The 18,486-nt window shown below is 33.6% G+C and overlaps 1 protein-coding gene across 12 annotated transcripts in view; it reads right to left on the bottom strand.

Annotated features, from left to right (window-relative positions):
• Positions 1-18,486, bottom strand: part of RABGAP1L (RAB GTPase activating protein 1 like) — an 835,789-nt gene that overhangs the window by 714,348 nt on the left and 102,955 nt on the right. For 11 of the 12 annotated variants that reach the window (NR_158982.1, XM_011510223.3, XM_047436028.1 and 8 more), the window contains 3 exons: positions 8,481-8,547; positions 5,026-5,128; positions 2,182-2,348 (listed from right to left, as the gene is read on the bottom strand). Coding sequence is in view for 11 of the 12 variants with exons in the window: in XM_011510223.3 (XP_011508525.1) it covers positions 2,182-2,348; positions 5,026-5,128; positions 8,481-8,547 (337 nt within the window). In the remaining variant the exon portion in view is untranslated. Of the gene's footprint in view, positions 1-2,181; positions 2,349-5,025; positions 5,129-5,771; positions 5,862-8,480; positions 8,548-18,486 lie in introns of those variants that run through there. The other variant, NM_001366449.1, reaches the window with a different exon arrangement.

Below are 18,486 nucleotides of genomic sequence, written 5' to 3'. Positions count from 1 at the left end.
TCTTGAAGTCAGTGAGACCATTAACCCACCAGAAGGAAGAAACTCCAGACACATCTGTACATCTGAAGGAACAAACTCTGGACACACCATCTTTAAGAACTGTAACACTCACCGCAAGGGTCCGCGGCTTCATTCTTGAAGTCAGCAAGACCAAGAACCCACTGAAAGGAACCAATTCCGGACACAAAAGGACTTTCTCTAGTTTACTTTCCCAGCCTCTAGTTTACTTTCCCAGACTCTAGTTTCCATCCTCTTGTTAAGTGCTCTCCTTGCTCCCAGTAAATGGACAATGAATGAAATGAAATGCCATTTGGCCCTGAGTGGACAGTAAACAGGAACAAAGCAGACTTTCATACATCCCCACTGCCCACACATAAAGTTCTGCTATATTTGAGAGAAGAAAGTTGCCAAGAAAAAATAGTTTGGGAACAGGGCATCTCATGTACTTTGGTGTTGCCCCCAGGAGTCTGGTCTAATCCTGTCTGGGTACAGGACAAGTTCTGGTTTCATTCAATAAGTTCAACACTCTCAGAATGAAAGAAAAAGTTCTAGGTGTCTAAATCACTTAGAACTGAAATCAATGCATTCTCTCTTTATTTCTTTAAAGTAGTAATGGCCTGGACCCAGATTTTCAAAGGTTACTTTGAATTGCATTAGGTAATCACCTAATTCATTCTTTCTACCAATGTTGTATAGTGTAGACCAACATCTCCAGATTACCATCAACCACCCCAAACCAACCCACCTTTTGGAGGTGTAGAAAGAAGCTAGTCTGGCCTTACAGCAGCATATTCTGGCTTAAGGTAAGGAGTTATAGTCTCAGGTCTTGCAATAATTACTTACATGAATTTTAACAATTACTTTAATGTCTCTCTCTCTCTCTCTCTCTCTCTCTCTCTCTCTCTCTCTCTCCAGGCAGACAGACAGTCAAAAGTACTAGAACTGGGAAAAACCTAACATTTTCTCAGATCTCTAGGAGGTATAATTTACATTATAATTTATCATCATTAGAAGAATGACAACTTTCTATACAGCTCCAGCTCCTTTATTCACGATTATGCAACTATGAATAATTCTTTGGCTCAAAATGAAGAATTATTGGATAGTCATAACTAAGCTATTTTTTTAAAAAAGAAGGATGGGGAGGAAGGAAGACAGGAAAAAAGTCTCATAATAAAATATTAAAAGATGCTCAGGAGACTGAAGTTTGAATATTGCTCACATAACCTTCATTAGAATATGCTATAAAAGCAGTTCACACAGTAATAAAAACTGAGTCAAATAACAGCCATAATAATTTTATGAAAGATTTTTTTAAAACCACAATAATTTCCAAGTACATAGTATATAAAGCCGAGATGCGCCATGGCAGTTTTTTTAATATGAAAATGGGTAAGAGGCTTCTATATTTGTTTCCTGTACTGGTGCCTGCTTTTATCACACAGCAGTCCACATATTATAGTATATGAAGCAGCAAGCATTTTAAAACTTGGGAGAATGAAAGTACTAACAAAAACAGCATATAAAAGATGTTCATTATTCTAATAGAGCATTTTTATCCTGATTTTTTAAAAACTCACACAATTAGCATTCAAGTTATTTTTCATTATTATCTGCTTCCTTTGCTATAATACAAAAGTTACATATTTTATCTACTAATACTGCCTAATTTGAGGATATCATAGAAACCATAATTTTGTTCATTTAATATTAAAATAATTTTATAACCTCACTGATGAGTCAAACAAGATGTTCATATAATATTGTCTATCTAATATTACAGGCAGAAATAACTATAGAAATTAGGTATTTCTTAGAAACATTTTCATTAAAATTTTATAAGCATATGATATTTCTGTGCACTGCCTTTTTGGTTTTAAGTAATTGTTTATAAAAGGCAGAAACGTTGTTTTATATGCAGTCAATATTTCTGTTAAGAAGGTTCATACATTACAGGTTTCTAGGGAAAAAGTATGTAATTATTAAACTTGCTGGGTTTTTTTAGCTAATATTACCTAGATGTGACTTTTTCAAACACTCTATTGGTTGACTTCAAATATCATTTGATTTCTTTGAGGAATTGTATTGTTTTGCAACTTCAGGAATTATCTTGGCATTAAAAAAGAAGTGTGGAAAGAAAAATGTTTGTTACTATATATGAAGAGAACAAAAAGGTCCTACCTGTTTCAATCTCATGAAGAAAGTCTCTGTGAAAGTCTTTCTGCTGAAATACCAAAATCGCTCATTTGCAGGGTACACACGGACTACTGTCTCCAGGAGAAAGCGAACAGGCTCCACCACCTCTGTGACTACCATATCCACTGCCACAGTCATGTATACTTGCTTATCTGTAGTAGAAATTTTCTGGGTTTTATGCGAGCTTTATTATTCCTTGTCTACTTTAAACAAAGTTTCCTCACTTATGAAAGAATTAAAGTTCTTTACAATTGTAATACCTTCTATGTTTATTTTTAACTGTTCTATTCACATTTTGATTAAATAAGTATGCAAGTACTCCAAGCATGTTTCTTAGGAACTAATAATCCTAAGTGTTTGTTGTTTTGAGACAGAGTCTCACCCAGGCTGGAGTACAATGGAGCGATCTTGGCTCACTGCAACCTCCGCCTCCAGGGCTCAAGCAATTCTCCTGCCTCAGCCTCCCAAGTAGCTGGGATTACAGGTGCCCGCCACAACACCCAGCTGATTTTTAAAATATTTTTACTACAGACGGGGTTTCACCATGTTGGCCAGGCTGGTCTCAAACTCCTGACCTCTGGTGATCCACCCCCATCAGCCTCCCAAAGTGCTGGGATTACAAGCGTGAGCCACCACACCTGGCCTCATTGAGGTTTTTGAATCTATGGCCTGGTCATTCCATACCATTTTGTAATTTCCTCATTCCTTTTTAAATATTTTTTAAAATTTATTTTCTTTACAATTTTTAGTTCTCTGTTAAAGGAAAGTCCAAATAACCAAGGCCACCACTAGAAGAAACCCTCAATAGTGTTTTTAAATATTATATAACATTCAGATTCATCAACTACTTCTCAAATTCAATAACAATTTTATTACATTCTTACTAAATACAGTCTTACTAAATACACCTGCCAATTCAAGAGAAACTAAAATTTGTTAGACATTATACTTGACCTGGAGGACCTTAGAGAAAGGAGTAAGGAGTAATAACACAAGACAGAATATAACATTCAACTGGATCTTAGTGCAGTGGAAAGATCCAAGACTTTTCATCTCTCAGGTTCTAAACTTCTTCCATAAAAATCAAACTTTATTTGATCACACATTCTCTGAGTAATGTGTAATTTCAAGGACATAATTTAGAAATTTTAAAAATCAGGGCAACATTTTTGTGTGGCATATGAGATAATGTTAAATTTAAAATGTATACTTTGAATCAGAATATTATAATATACTATTATATAGTTTAATAGAATAAATTATAAATAAATTTTCTTTTGTGGACCAAATATATATTTTATTGCAAAATAAAACTAAACTAGGTGTTACATTAAAAACATAAAAACTATTTTTATAACTTGATATGCAAAATTCTTATATTTTGTTCTTCAAAACTGTCAACTGGCTTATTTTTATCATTTTTGTGGCTTCCTTCTGAACAAGTATAAGAAAGAAGTTACAGGTATTTGCAAGCCTGTCTCCAGAAATAACAAATTGTGGGTCTAAAAATTATTTACTGCTAATAAATGAAAAGTTAAATTTTATATAATCTTTTTTTCTGTTTAGCCTTTATTTTTAGACAGCTTAATATGTGATCAATGTATGTGATTTATATAAATGGTGAATACTCTCTTTAAGGAAATGAAAGAATAATTATCATTTTAATGCCCTTCATTAACATATTATATTTTCATATCAGTATTCACGAATGCTTCCTGTCAGTAACCAAAAGTCTACTGTGGGTATAAACTAAATAATATAAAAATTAATGATAAAACAAACTGATCCATTATATTCTAAATATGAATTAATGGTTTAATGACAGTAAAGCACTTAGGGTAGGCATATAACTCGGCAGGTAAAACTTTAAATTTAGTTTAAAAGTAGATAATGAAGGGGCAAAAAACAGGCAATTAACAGCTATCTGGATGAAGTAGGAATGAAAAAACACAATGGAACAACGAAAAATGTGACTATTCAACATTTATACATTCTGTTCAATACTAGACATGATAAATAATATGAAAAGTTAAAAAACTAAGAAAAAACTATTTGCTACAACTGAAATATTTAATATATATTACAAGCATCCCGAAGGCCAAAAGACTGGAGCCAATAATTAATAAATGAAAAACTATAAGTAAACTATAATGCAAAAATAGTTAATAATTTAAAAATATTCAAAATTCTAAAATATTTCCTTTTCATCATTTTCTTTAATATTTCTCCATCACTAGTCTCCACAAATGAAATAACTCTATAGTGGTATATGAAAAACAAAGCCCAAATGCTTTCTCTATAATCTAATAAAATTAATTCAGGCCAGGTGCAGTGGCTCACATCTGTAATCCCAGTGCTTTGGAAGGCAAGAAGATCAGTTGAGGTCAAAGGTTCAAGACAAGCCTGGGCAACAAAGCATGACCCCATCGCTACAAAAATAAAATTTAAAAATTAGCCATGCATGGCAGCACACACCTGTAGTTCTATTTAATAGCTACTCAGGAGGCTGAGGTGGGAGGATTGCTTGAGCATGACAGTTTGAGGTTACAGTGAGCTATAATGCCCCTATACTCTACCCTGGGCAACAGAGTGAGACCCTGTCTCTTAAAATAATAACAATAATAATAATTCACATATCTTTTGGGGAGGATTTTTTTAAATAGTGGAGATTTCCCCCATAGAAGCATAAAGAATAAAAATGAACCTCAAATTCTCAATGAAAGAATAAGTCCACTTTGAGTTCCAAATTTTTTTTAAAACATGACAAGCAACATTGTTCATAATATAAAATGTAAAGCAAACAATAAGGGATCTTTTAAGAAAAGTCACCTTTTGGGGTTTCCTCGTTAAGTGCCAGAAATACTGGTGCATTGGGGTTCCACATGCCAGTGATGACATAAGCTCTCCCATCATAGCTCTTTCCCATGGATTCCTATAAAAATTCAAACAGTAATTACTGATAAAAGACATCAAAAAAATCACTACTTTAAATTACATCTTACTTTAAGCAATACAAATTATTAAAATTTAGATTAACAGTCAAGCAGGAGCTTTATATTCACTGTAAATTCTTTTCATCCTACAAAAGCATTTATTTAAATATTAAATTCTTCTACAGCTTTCTTCAAGCACAGTTTCTATTTAAAGACATGTACCCTTGGATAAAAGGAGGCATATACTTACATGCTGAATCAAAAAAACATAATATTGTTACAAAGTTGTATTTAACTTGATCTTGACACCAATTGTCCAAATCTCATATACACATAAGAATGTATATGGTTTCTATTAAAACAATAATATAGAATTAGCTGAAGACAGTTAAACTGAACTAGTAGCTAATCACAGTAGGGAAAGTTAATATTTTTCTTCTAATATTCTAATTTTTAATGAATTCTTAAAATATTAATTTAGTTTGTAGCAATTAATACCTTTAAAATTAACACTTGTCTATTTTCTATATGTCAGATATTTATATACTTTCTTACAATCATAAATTAGTATTAGGAGACTAATTTTTGGTTTGTAAGCAGCATCCAAGTGTATTAACTCTCTCCCTCTACTGTTACACTTACTCCCTCTTTCTTCCCTTCTCTCCTTCCTCCTCTTCTCCATTCTTTAAGACTTTACCAAGCCAGCTCTTGACTCTCACTAAAAAAGCCAGCAACTCCTATGGCGAAAGCTAGGCTACTTATAGCTTGTGTATATGTGTGTGGAGAGAGGAGGGGTAGAGTTTGTCCCATGAAAGAACAACACACAGCATACAAGTATTTCCATATGCAAATGAACAGTATCTACAATATTTCAGTTTTTGTAGCGATTTCCTCACATTATGAATAGAGACTGTTAAAAGGGTCAGACTAAAACAAAGAGAAAAACTTTTCTTTTTTCATTATTACCCATTCACAGATGTTTCTCTGAACCCCCTATAAAATTGTGTCAGTCATTTGGTAATTACTATGTATATTTTTCTAGTGTATTAGTAATACTTCACTAATCAGATTGTGTAGCTTGAGCGCAGGGACCATGCATTCCAGAGATGAAATACACTCAAGGTCACTTGTAAACGAAACCCTCTCAGCAGCCCCAACACACTCATATGATAATGGTCTCTTTCTCTCCTCTACACACACACACACACACACACACACACACACAGAGTCACCTGTTGCTTAATGATAGGGTTATGTTCTAAGTTATGTGTCATTAAGTGATTTCTTTATGCAAATAGAATACACCGTACTTATAAAAACCTAGATGGTATAGGGGCTACACAACTAGGCTGTTGCTCCAAGGCTACAAACTTGTACAGCACGTTACTGTACCAAATACTATAGCAACTATAACAATACCATTTGTGTACCTAAACACAGAAAAGGTACAGTAAAAATACATTATAATCTTACGGGACGACCTTAAAGTATGGGTCCATCATTCACGGAAATTTTCTTACTCAGCATATGACTGTTATATATAAGTAATCTGGCTATTTCACTGAAAAATATATCTTCATTTATAAATAGGACTTTCCTGTCATGAGGATCACATGATATTTGGGAGTGTCATAGAAGGAGTAAAAGTATTAATATCTTGTTCTAGAGTGCAGAATTAAGACTAATTAGGCCAAGTTACAAGAACTATGATTTCAGGTGATTATAAAAAAATAACTTTGTAATAACCAGAACTGTCCCTTAGACTTTAACATAAGGTAATGAGTTTCTCTTCATTAGAAGTAGTCTAGCTGAGGTTCAATGTCCACTATGAAGATTAACAACACTGGGTAATAACAAATCACAACTGCTAATCATTGCAAATACAAGCCTCTCATTTGCCCAACTATTTGTTGCAAGTAAGCCCCTTCTCTGTCTGAGAGCATGAATGCTCACAACTCTTTTGATTTAGATATGGACTCAAAGGTGGGGAGGACTGTTCTGAAAGTTAGAGAGACATAGTGAAGGGGCCTCAGAAGTTTATACCAGTTCTATAATTCTGTAATCTGAATTTAGGTTTTATGGACAAATCTCTGCAGTAATTCATCTTAGTCTTTTAAACTCTGAAAGACCATGATTAATTAGGACCTAGGATCTTAAAAGTTTTCATTACCTCAATCCTCCTAATTTACTTCCTCATGGAATTTTCAGGGCTCCAAAATGCTAATGGCTTGCCTTAGGTAAAACCACTTTCATTACTGATATGTGGTCAAGAAAAAAAAAAAAGATGTAAGAGACATAGATCAATAGCTAATTTATGTTTTAATAATCAATTTAACTGGTTTTCCTTACCTGACCTATTCAGGCAGTGCTTCCTCTATATTTCTGTGGCTTGAAGTACCACCAGATACTAAAAAGTTTGTTTCCCACAAGACCATGAACCCACAGATGGTAAGAGCTATATTTTACTCATATGCATAACCTCATCACTTCACACAACACTTAGCAGACAAACAGGTACCCAAAAGCCTGAATAAACCATTCCTGTACTGCTATAAAATCAGTATTGATATTACCATGAAATTACTCAAAAAAAAGTTGACCTAATTAGTAATGTTTAACTGATATTTGCAAAACACAGCTAAAAAGAAGAAAGCATATAGTGCTTATTATCACTAAATATAAGAATTTCAGTTCACTAAGAAACTTTATACTTACTCTAAGATGATTATTTTCCTATAACGTCTCCAAATCACAAATTAAATGTTTTCACTAACTGCAATATTAGAAGGTATTTCTATTTGAAAGTTAAAATAGCTTGCTACTTTTACACTAAATATCAACTGTTGAATATATATTAACCTTTAAGGACATTCCTTAAATAAATATTACTCCTAGTATAAGTGTACTTTGCTAAGGACAGGTAATCAAGAAGAAATTCAGAAAGGGAAACGCTTTAAAGAAAACAAAAGTACCCATCACAAACTCAAATTAATAGCAGTGCATTAAAATAAATGAAAGGCACCATATTCACTCTGGAGATGCTTGTTATAATCATGTACTTGTTACTACAGGTTCAAAGAAAAGATATCTTTCTAAGAAGCCAAAAAAATAAATGGACATTATCATAACACAATCCTTTTATTTGTTGCATATGACTGTTTTGGTGGAAATTGTCCTGAATTCCTCTTTCACAAGTAATTTTAAGTTTGCGTTTCCAAATTTAATTATTACTATCACACAGCTGCAAGAAATAATTTTGACAATATGACAAAATTTGTAAATAGAAAATACTTGTCAAATATAAAATAACTATCATCTATACTTGGTTAAGGTGCTTAAGATTATCATTACCATATCCAGTAAATGCATGTCACTGTTCTTCACGTTTCGACCTGGGCTTAATAACATTCCAAAACATCTGAAAATATTGGGGGAAAAAAAGGAGAAATAAGGTATCAAGAATATATAGAAGCCCAGTGAGCATAAAGCCTTTTTACAATAACTATACAATCTGAGCTCTGTATTTATAAGCTTTAGTTTTTTTTCTAAAAACACCAGAAATAAGTATTTATGAAGATAGATAATAAAATCACACAGAAATAAGTCATCTAAATTTCCAGATCTTTATTTGCATGTAAAATATTACCAATAAGAAACTACCATAAAAGTGGCCATAAGTTGTTAATTGAAAGAAAATATGGTACTGAGATACAAATTAGTTTCTAGGGAGATAAGAGATTTTATTTGCCTTAGACTTATTCCAAACATATAGGTCAAAATCCATTAACCCAGTTAAACCAAAAACGAGGTTTTTAAAAATAAGAAGATGACACTATGCTCTCTTTGCATCAAACCAGATTAAAAAGAAAGCAAACTGTTGTTACCCTGGCCCTCCACAGTCATGTTCACTAAGTAGCATGTTAATACTATATCCTCAGTTTTAAAAAAAAAAAGTTATGCAAACTTTATTACTAAATGGGCTATTAGTGAAGATATTATATCCAACATATTATTAATTTACTGTTAACTATTTAATATTGTTCTGTGCTTCCTGATGCCAGAGAAGCTTTAGGAATCCCATCAACACTGCCACTTTATTTGTAAAGGATTTGCATAAGCTCTAAAATTCAGCTAACTCGAAGATTTTTATGTTTGTTAGGCTATTATTAACTCCACTTTACATGTAAGCAAAGTAAAGTCCAGAGAAGTTAAGCAATTTACCCAAATTCATACTGCTATATTATAGGTCTCGTAACTTGAGAAGCAATGTAATCTGTCCACAGGGTCCCTCTGCCAACAACACATACCCACACACAAGAATGTTTTTATTGTAGTTTCCCAAAACTTCAAGATATGCTATGTAACAATTTATAGAAAGGGTAAAGAATATAACTATATTAAACATAAGATTTTTTCAATTTCAAAATAGTGGCAGCTAACCACTCAACCGTTATTCTCATCCTTGTTGTTTTTCAAAGGTTTACTCTCCTAGTATCATGGCTAATGCTGACATGAGCAAGATCACTGGTCCTGTCCAAATGTAAGCTTAGTAAGGAGTAAATGTATACTTCCTATAAGTTCTTGAGGATCACTTGTTCAAGGCTTCCTTCTGGCACCCAAAAATGATCACGTACATAGCAAAGCTAAAGTTGGTAAGCTCTGAGGATAACTTTTCAAATACAGAGAACAAAATATAATCTACAAGAGAAATAATTATACTCTAGTATTCATAATTTCACCTATATACTGCTATGATCTCTCTCCTATGAATTCTTGTAATAAACACTGTCTACACAAATTAAATAATAATCAATCATGCAATTCACTGTACTATTTCTTATACTACTGCCCTAAATTCTTGCTAAGGAAGAATAAAAGATTTAATTCTTTTTTAGAAATAAAATTTGACTCTCTAAAAAATTAGGTCAATGAGAACAGATTTATCTCACACATCCCTACATACTTTGCTTCAGCTTGCATCTCTAATGGTTTTTTGTTTTAAGAACAATGTTCTATATTATAGGGTTTAAATTACAAACCCATTATATAGTCACCATAATAAGTTAACAAATACCAAAGTATGTAAAGAAAAAATAATTTCTCCCTTCTGTCAGCCTCCTTAGGAAATAATGCTAACAGTTTGGAAAGTATACTCTCTTTCTTTTTGTTCTTTTTGAAAATTTAAAGGATTTTTTTATTTTTTAAGGCAGAAAAAGATTTTTTTTAATTTTTATTTTTATAGGCATAAGGATTACAAGTGCAGATTTCTTACATGTATGCATTATGTAGAGATAAAGTCTGTCTGGGCTTTTAGAGTACCCATCAACCAAAGACTGAACATTGTAACCAATAGGTAATCTTTCAACCTTCACCCCGCTCTCCCACCCTCCTACCTTTTGTAATCTCTGATGGCTATAATAAAAGTTAAAGTTTAATGTCATTTGTTTCTCAAGCACTTCCAGGTGAATGATAAAATAGATGAAATTTCACATTTTCTCAGCATAATATTTCTATATTACATTGTACTGCAAAAGGAGCCTTAGAGGTTTGGATTTTTCTTAAGTAGCAATACTCATCACCTTATTTTGATAATCTTTAATGCACTAATCTTTTCCTGGCCTGGAAAAAAAAAAAAAGCCCTGCCACCAACCAGCATGACCTTAGAGAAAGCACCTAACCCCCTGGGACTCTGCTCCCTCTTCTAGCAAACAGGAAAGGTATAATACATGAACTTTAAGCACTTAAATTACATAATTATTTTCTGTCAAGCTGTATTAGTCATTTTCAAAATTACACTTCATTAAAGCACACCAGGATTCCTATGGAGGCCAGCAAGATCTATTAGGAATAATGTGTCAGAAATTAGATAGATATTATTAGTAACATTAACACCTAATAGGAGTATTCAGTGTTTCACTGGGGAGTTCAAAGCATTCAACAGTCTCTTATTAACTCTATAGATAAGGTAAAAAGCAAATTGCTATCCCACCTATTTTCTCAAGGAGTTTACAGTATAGTGGGGGGGAAAATAAGTAAACAGGCAATTAGAATCTGATATCATTCGTTCTAAAATACCTGTAAGTACATAATATCAACAAAGTATAGAAGAGACATCCAACATAATTTATAATATAGTGAATAGCTGACTTCACTGAAAAATTGAAATCAACCTCCTGAGAATGAGCTGATGATGCTATTATATCAATTATTATCATAATAATAGATATTGTTTATTGAATGTCTTAACTTTAAGCCAGGCTCTACTATACTGTTACATTTAAATTTCAAAGCAACCTTCATACAACAAACGATAAAACTGATTTTCAAAAACAATGGTTTTGCCCAAAGCCACATAGCTACTAAGTTACACGACCGGGATTCATGCCCATGTCTATCACTACAAAACTATATGGTCTTTTACATTACAGCCTGCCAAGGACTGTCAGTAAAAGACTATAAGCTCCCTGAGAGACCCTGGGCAAATCACAAACCTCAAAGTCTCACTTTCCACATTTCTGAAGTACAAATACTTGCTTTCATGTTCATTACGTCAACGTAAACTCGACATGAAAAAACTCCTGGCCGGGCGCGGTGGCGCAGTGGCTCACGCCTGTAAATCCCAGCACTTTGGGAGGCCGAGGTGGGCGGATCACGAGGTCGGGAGATTGAGACCATCCTGGCTAACAAGATGAAACCCCGTCTCTACTAAAAATACAAAAAAATTAGCCGGGCCTGGTGGCGGGCGCATGTAGTCCCAGCTACTCGGGAGGCTTAGACGAGAGAATGGCGTGAACCGGGGAGGCAGAGCTTGTGTGAGCCGAAGCTTGTGTGAGCCGAGACTGCGCCACTGCACTCCAGCGTGGGCAACAGAGCAAGACTCCGTCTCAGAAAAAAAAGAAAAAGAAAAGAAAAAACTCATGATGAAAGGGCACTGTAAACTATAAAACAGTTGATAATTATAAATTATTATAATTACCATTACCATTAAGAAGAGAAAGCTCTCCCTTTCATAGTAATACTTAGTGTTTACTCAAAATAGAACTTTAAGCAGCTTTTAACACCAAGTTAACCTCTAGAACAAATACCAAAAACTCTGTATCACTAATACGGCTTTAGACTTAACTGCAGGAAAAAGTGAGAAAAACAGATGTTGTATTAATGTCCTGCAATATGAAACTAATTTTTTAAAAACTTTTACCTTTAGTCTATCAAATCATTAGGAATTACATATATCTCCATGAAGATAAAAATGGAAGGTAGGGAAGGAGAGAGAGGAAAAGAACACGCTCTCTTGCTGTACTAAACTTTTATTATTAAAAATGAAAAAGTGGCTGGGCGCAGTGGCTCACGCTTGTAATCCCAACACTTTGGGAGGCCGAGGTGGGCAGATCACAAGGTCAGGAGATCGAGACCATCCTGGCTAACATGGTGAAACCTCCGTCTCTACTAAAAAATACAAAAAAAATTAGCCGGGCGTAGTGGCGGGCACCTGTAATCCCAGCTACCGAGGAGGCTGAGGCAGGAGAATGGCGTGAACCCGGGAGGCAGAGCTTACAGTGAGCCGAGATTGCACCAGTGCACTCCAGCCTGGGCAACAGAGCAAGACTCCGTCTCAAAAAAAAAAAAAAATGAAAAAGTGACAGCATAATAGAAAGGGAAAAACAGAACTGCAAATAAGAAAATCTATAATGCAATCACAGTTTTTCAAAACTTTATGCAAAACACTAAAACTAAATAATTTCATAAAAGTTGGAATCTCAGTCAGTCTCCCCAAAGGGGCTAAAGCAAAAAGATAATTGGGCAAATCTTCTATTGTGTCAATGAGACTGTTATTTCCCTTACTAAAAAGACTGAAGTAGAGAAAGATACACAGGCATTTGTCACTATGTACAGTGGTGTGGAACCACAAAAATAACCATATAAGCAAAACTGCATATAAAATGATATTTTTCAAAAGGAAAAATTATGATTCTTCAGTAACCTTTAAAAATTTTTGTCCAAACTTCAAAAACTCTCTTACTTTCAGTTATAAATATATAGGACAATTGTTAAAAAGTAAAACTATTGTTTATTTAGCACTTCGTTGTTTGAAGCACAAAAATTAAAGTATTTTAATTATTTAAAAAAACTTATCAAGAATATATTGAACAGTGCTTGCTGCCTTCTCATATAATTTACAATACAAAGTATTTTTTCTATCTTGGCAAACTGTCATATTCCTTTCTAAGTTTGGATTAACTTCCAAACTTTATCCTTTGCATGTTCAATGTTGTGAAGTATCTCCAAGAGTTCCTTTAATGTGAAAAATTTGCCAGAGTCATTTCCCCTGGAACATTCATGCTTTTCATCACAACCACTTTCCTTATTTACACTGATAAGTTCATCTTCACAAAGTTCATCTGGCTGCATATCTAGAGTCCACTGAATAGCAACAGTGTCAACACTCCCACAGACAGCTATTTATTCTACATCTCCATAAGTGTCCTATTCATATCCTTCAAAGTTACTTCTATAGCGAAGTAAAAGTTTGCTATACTACAGACATAATATTCATTGTTGCTCCCTGAAATGATGTCTTCAACTGCATGCTTTATGTCATATTTCTCCCAAAATTGAGATAAAGAAATTGCATAATCTCCAGTCTCCTTATAATTACTATTTCCTTTTGATGTGGCATCTAACTTCAGTATTTTGGCTGACATGCTAGCAAAACTGATTGGAATTTTTGTTTATTACAGTCTTAATCCAAAGCAGAAGTATATGCTCCAGTTAAACCATAAGCAGCTTTCTGTTCCTAGTGAAACTTAAACTAAAGGATGTTGGAGTGATTTTATCATTTTTTTAAATTTATCATACTTTTTCAATATGGTTCATATCACAACTTTATACAGGCCTAGGTCTCATTCTGTCTTCATTTTGCTGTTGCCATTTTAAAATCTTCTAAGACTGTGCATCTTCTAAAATTACATGCAATTTCACTTTCAGCATTATGACTTTTCATTTCTTTGTAGCACTGTTAGCTTTGTTGGCCAATTTCCTCTTTGGATTATCCATTTTTGTAAAATGTCAAATGGATTTATTACCAGAGACAAAGAGGCAACACAACCACATACTTTGCTATCTGTAAGTAAAGTGAATAACAGATACACAGTGACCAATCACCAACAGACTTTGGAAGAAGCGACATGATTGGTCACTAATCATGTATGTATATAGTGACTTGTGGACTGAACAGCAGAGTTTGTTTTGCAATTACTCTGTTAATATACTATGGTAACAGAAATTTGAACCATGTGTTTGGGAGACTAGTGTTGTAACTGAACCACGGTAAGAGAAAATAATGTATACCATAACTACAAAGCAAGGACTGCCTGTATATACACACATAGGTTCTAAAGAACTCTAGCCAAGATTTTGCCTTCCAGTGGTAGCAGTCTACTCAGATTTTGCAGGTTACTTACTTCTGATTATCACTCAAAAAAGACCAATAGTCTTAAAATCTTAACTGTGGTTGTTGTAATAGTACCACTAATAGTAATAATAGCATGCATTTATTAAGCATTATTGTGAACACTTTACAGTTACTAGCTAATCTTCTCCCCACAATCTTAAGAGGTAAGTTTTATTCACAATTTACAAATTGCAAACTGAAGCACAGAGAAGTTAAATAACTTGACCAAGATCACTGTAAAGCCAAGATTCAAACCCAGATGAGGGTACTCTATAGCTATTTATCCTAAAAATTTCACTCTAGTAACTTCAGTGATATCAGTAATAGGAAGAAGGAGTCTCTCCAGATTTAAAAATTGGTTACTCTTTTCATTCATCAGGTAGGAAATCGTTTTATCTATCTATCTGTCTATGTAACTAACTATCTATCTTAGATTTCCTAGAACACTAGGAAAAATCACCAAGAAAAAAATAACCTAAATAGATCTTAGGACTGCCATAGAGCTGCTACCAGTACAGAGAATTTAACATGCAGATAGGCTATAAAAGAAGAATATCTTAGGTCCACTTTTTTTAAATTTTCAACCAACAAATTTCAAAAACAAAAAAAAATACCAGTACAGAGAAAATAACATACAGAAAGAAGAATATTTTTAGGTCAATGTTCTTAAAATTTTTCATTGAATAAATTTCAAAAATAAAAACAAAAAAACCCTCCATACCATCCTTAGCAATAATGTTCCCATTAATTCTCACATTAATAAAGGGTCAAAATTTAAAATGCAGAATAACTCAAATATGAGTGCTTTCCTTCTTCACTTTTTTTTTTTTTTTTTTCAAGACAGGCTCCAGCTCTGTCACCCAGGCTGGAGTGCAGTGGCACAATCTCAGCTCTGCAACCTCCACTTCCTGATTCAAGCCATCCTCCCACCAAATATGAGTACTTTTACTAACTCCCTTCAAATACAAAATGAGAACTTAGCTACAGTCAGATTTTAAAATATATTAAAAATGATTATAACAAGAAAACCAATAAATTTCAAAGTCTGACATGGTTTAATCCCTGCTTAAAACATTTAAAATCAATTATTTTGCTTTTCCATTCAGTAAGACTAATACAGGACATTCAGATAGTGATACATTATTTGGGCTTTTGCAGATACTAGCTATATGCATCAAAATAAACGGGTGCTAATTTACAAGTATTTTTACAATTGAATGTATTTGTAAACACAATTCAAAAACATCTAAAAGCATAAAGAAAAGGAATATCTTCCCCTGTACAGCTACAGCTGATTAACAAAAGTCCATTTTTCTCCTTCATAAAGGCTCATTTTGCAGGCTACTGATTCCTGATTATCACTCATAAAACACATGTAGATAGGGTTGAACAAAACATGGGCAAAAAATGATGAATTCAATTTTATGAGAAAATTTATAGCAAAAGTACCTACATTAACTTTTGATAAAATAAGAAAACTAGTGATTAGACTTGGAGTTCCTATTTCTTTTTCTCTCGATTGTCATTTCTTTTGTTTTTTTTTCTAATTTTTTTCTTTTATCTACAGTCTATATTTTTTCCCATTTCTATTCGTATTTTTTCTTTAATCCCTTTCCTCTAGGGTTTTTCTTTCTTTACATAGTTGGAAGTAGAACTAATATGATTTAATGAAGAATTAGATGTAGAGTGAGAGAAAATGGAGTTGAAAATGCCAAGTTTTTCATCTACAATAATTGGAAAGATCAAGTTACAAATTAAAAAGACTGTGAGAAATTACAGGAGGAACAAGTTTGGGACAGTGTCAAACTTGATTTTTTAGTTTGATTTTTGAACATATTAACTTTGAGATGCCAGATGAAGATCTGAAGTTGTTGAATATATAAGTTTGGAGACCTCAGGTCAGAGAAAAACATTTGGAATCATCCAGTCATAGATATATTTAAAGTCATGAGACTGGATGGGCTAATCTAACAAGCAAGTGTGGTAGAAGAAAGACTGCTTAAACAATGTCTTTGAGATGTCAAAATGGAATAAAATAGAGTATACAAGTAGAAAATTAGCCTTAAAAGCAGGGACATTTCATATTATAAAAGAATTAAGTTTCTTGTAGTACAGTGGAATAATGAAATAATTCACCTAAATATATAAAACTTCAAAATTTAAAAAATACCAGGGAAATAAAAAGAATGAGTAAATTTATTAAAATATGCTGAAAATTTTAAAAATCAAATATTTAAAGCACAAATACAAAATTTCACCTATAAGACATATTTAACTTTTAATTAATTGCTTAAAGTCCTACTAAAAAAAAAATAACATTTTTAAGTCTTCCTCCCTCTTCCCTTCAAATGATCCAAAGATCTTGAAAAGGGAATAAAACAACTATGCTACTATTACAAATACGGATAAAATATTAGTAACTAAACAATATTTACTAAAGAAATAAAATAATCATATCCTATTTATAGGTACTTAATACTGACCCCTGTAAACATCCCCCGGCCCCCCAAAAAAGAAAGAAAGTCATACAGAAGAGTCAAATGAAAAGGCTTTAGGAAGAATAGCAAGATGGTCTTGATTCAAATACTTGTGTTGCCAATTATAAGCTAGATCTCATAGCAAGGCAAAATAAAATGCTTTAGCTCCCTACTCCCCGTTAAAAAAAAAAAAGTAAATAAAAGATAATCTACTTTGCAGGGTTTCTTGCTTTAGTAAGAAAAAGGCTGTGCGTGGAATGGAAATAAACATACGGTAGAAATAATAGTTGTTTTTTCCTTGCCATTACTGTGACAGTAAAAAGATTATCTAAAATAACCACTTTTTTGTTTTGTTTTTCCTGGAAAAATATCAGAAACTTTATGGACTGCTTAATATCATTAGATATTAATTCAATTAGATACTGTAAGTCAGCATTTGATTAGGACAGAAAACACAGTAATTTAAACAGGGAAAATTTACTATAAAGAATTATTAACTGTCATAGTAGAGTAACTACAAAGAGAATTTAACCCTAAAGCTAAGGGAGAGTACCACAAGAAGAACTAACGTGGAAGTTGGGTCCTTTCACCAAAGGTGGTATTCAGACCTCACTGGAGAAGGCAGGATTACAGCCCAATGAATAGCAAAGAAGTTTGTTGGACTGCCCAGGCAAAGCTAGACCACAGGCACGCAGGAAACCCTCTGGGCTGCAGCCAGCAAAGGCTGGCAGGCAGGTGGGCAAAGGAAATCAGGGCTTCCAGAGTCAGCTCACTGGCAGGGTGGTACGAGGCCTGGGGCACACAGTGTCTGTGTCAGGAAGGCTGTAGGAGGGCCTCACTGAGACAGAACCAAAGCTATGAGCTCACGGAGGGACTGCATGTGAGTGCACAGCTGGGTTGAACCAAACATCAGCAAAAGCACAGCATCACTGGATGTCCCTGGATCTTACAATAAGCAAGAGCAAGAAAACAATAAATGTAACACATCAGAAACAAAAGAAACCCCATCTTCCTGCAGTGTCCCTGCAACACCCTCTACTGGCATAATTTAATATTGTGCTTGCTGCAAAGAAGAAATGTTTAAAGCTCCATTAATGCAGATCAGCTAAGAGGACAGATTTGGAGCCAAGGGGCAATAACCTGGTAACTGGATAGGATATGGTTAAAATACCCAATCTCTTCTAATTAGCAGCCAGGCTACATATCCAAATTTCTTAAACCAATAAATTAAATGTTTATATTATAGAAGTATACTGTGATTTATAAAAGGATTCAAAAAGAGCTGCAATAGAGGTCTGCAAATTGTACCAATGCCAGTTTCCTAGCTGTGATACTGTACTATGGTTATGTAAGATGTTACCATAGGGGGAAATGGGGAAGCACACATAGAGCATCTCTATACTATTATTGCAATTTCCTGTGCATCTAC

Source organism: Homo sapiens, chromosome 1 (genome assembly GCF_000001405.40).
Source record: "Homo sapiens chromosome 1, GRCh38.p14 Primary Assembly".
Taxonomy (NCBI): domain Eukaryota; kingdom Metazoa; phylum Chordata; class Mammalia; order Primates; family Hominidae; genus Homo; species Homo sapiens.
Note: the sequence above shows the minus strand (reverse complement) of the source record. Positions and strands in the feature narration are given on the sequence as shown.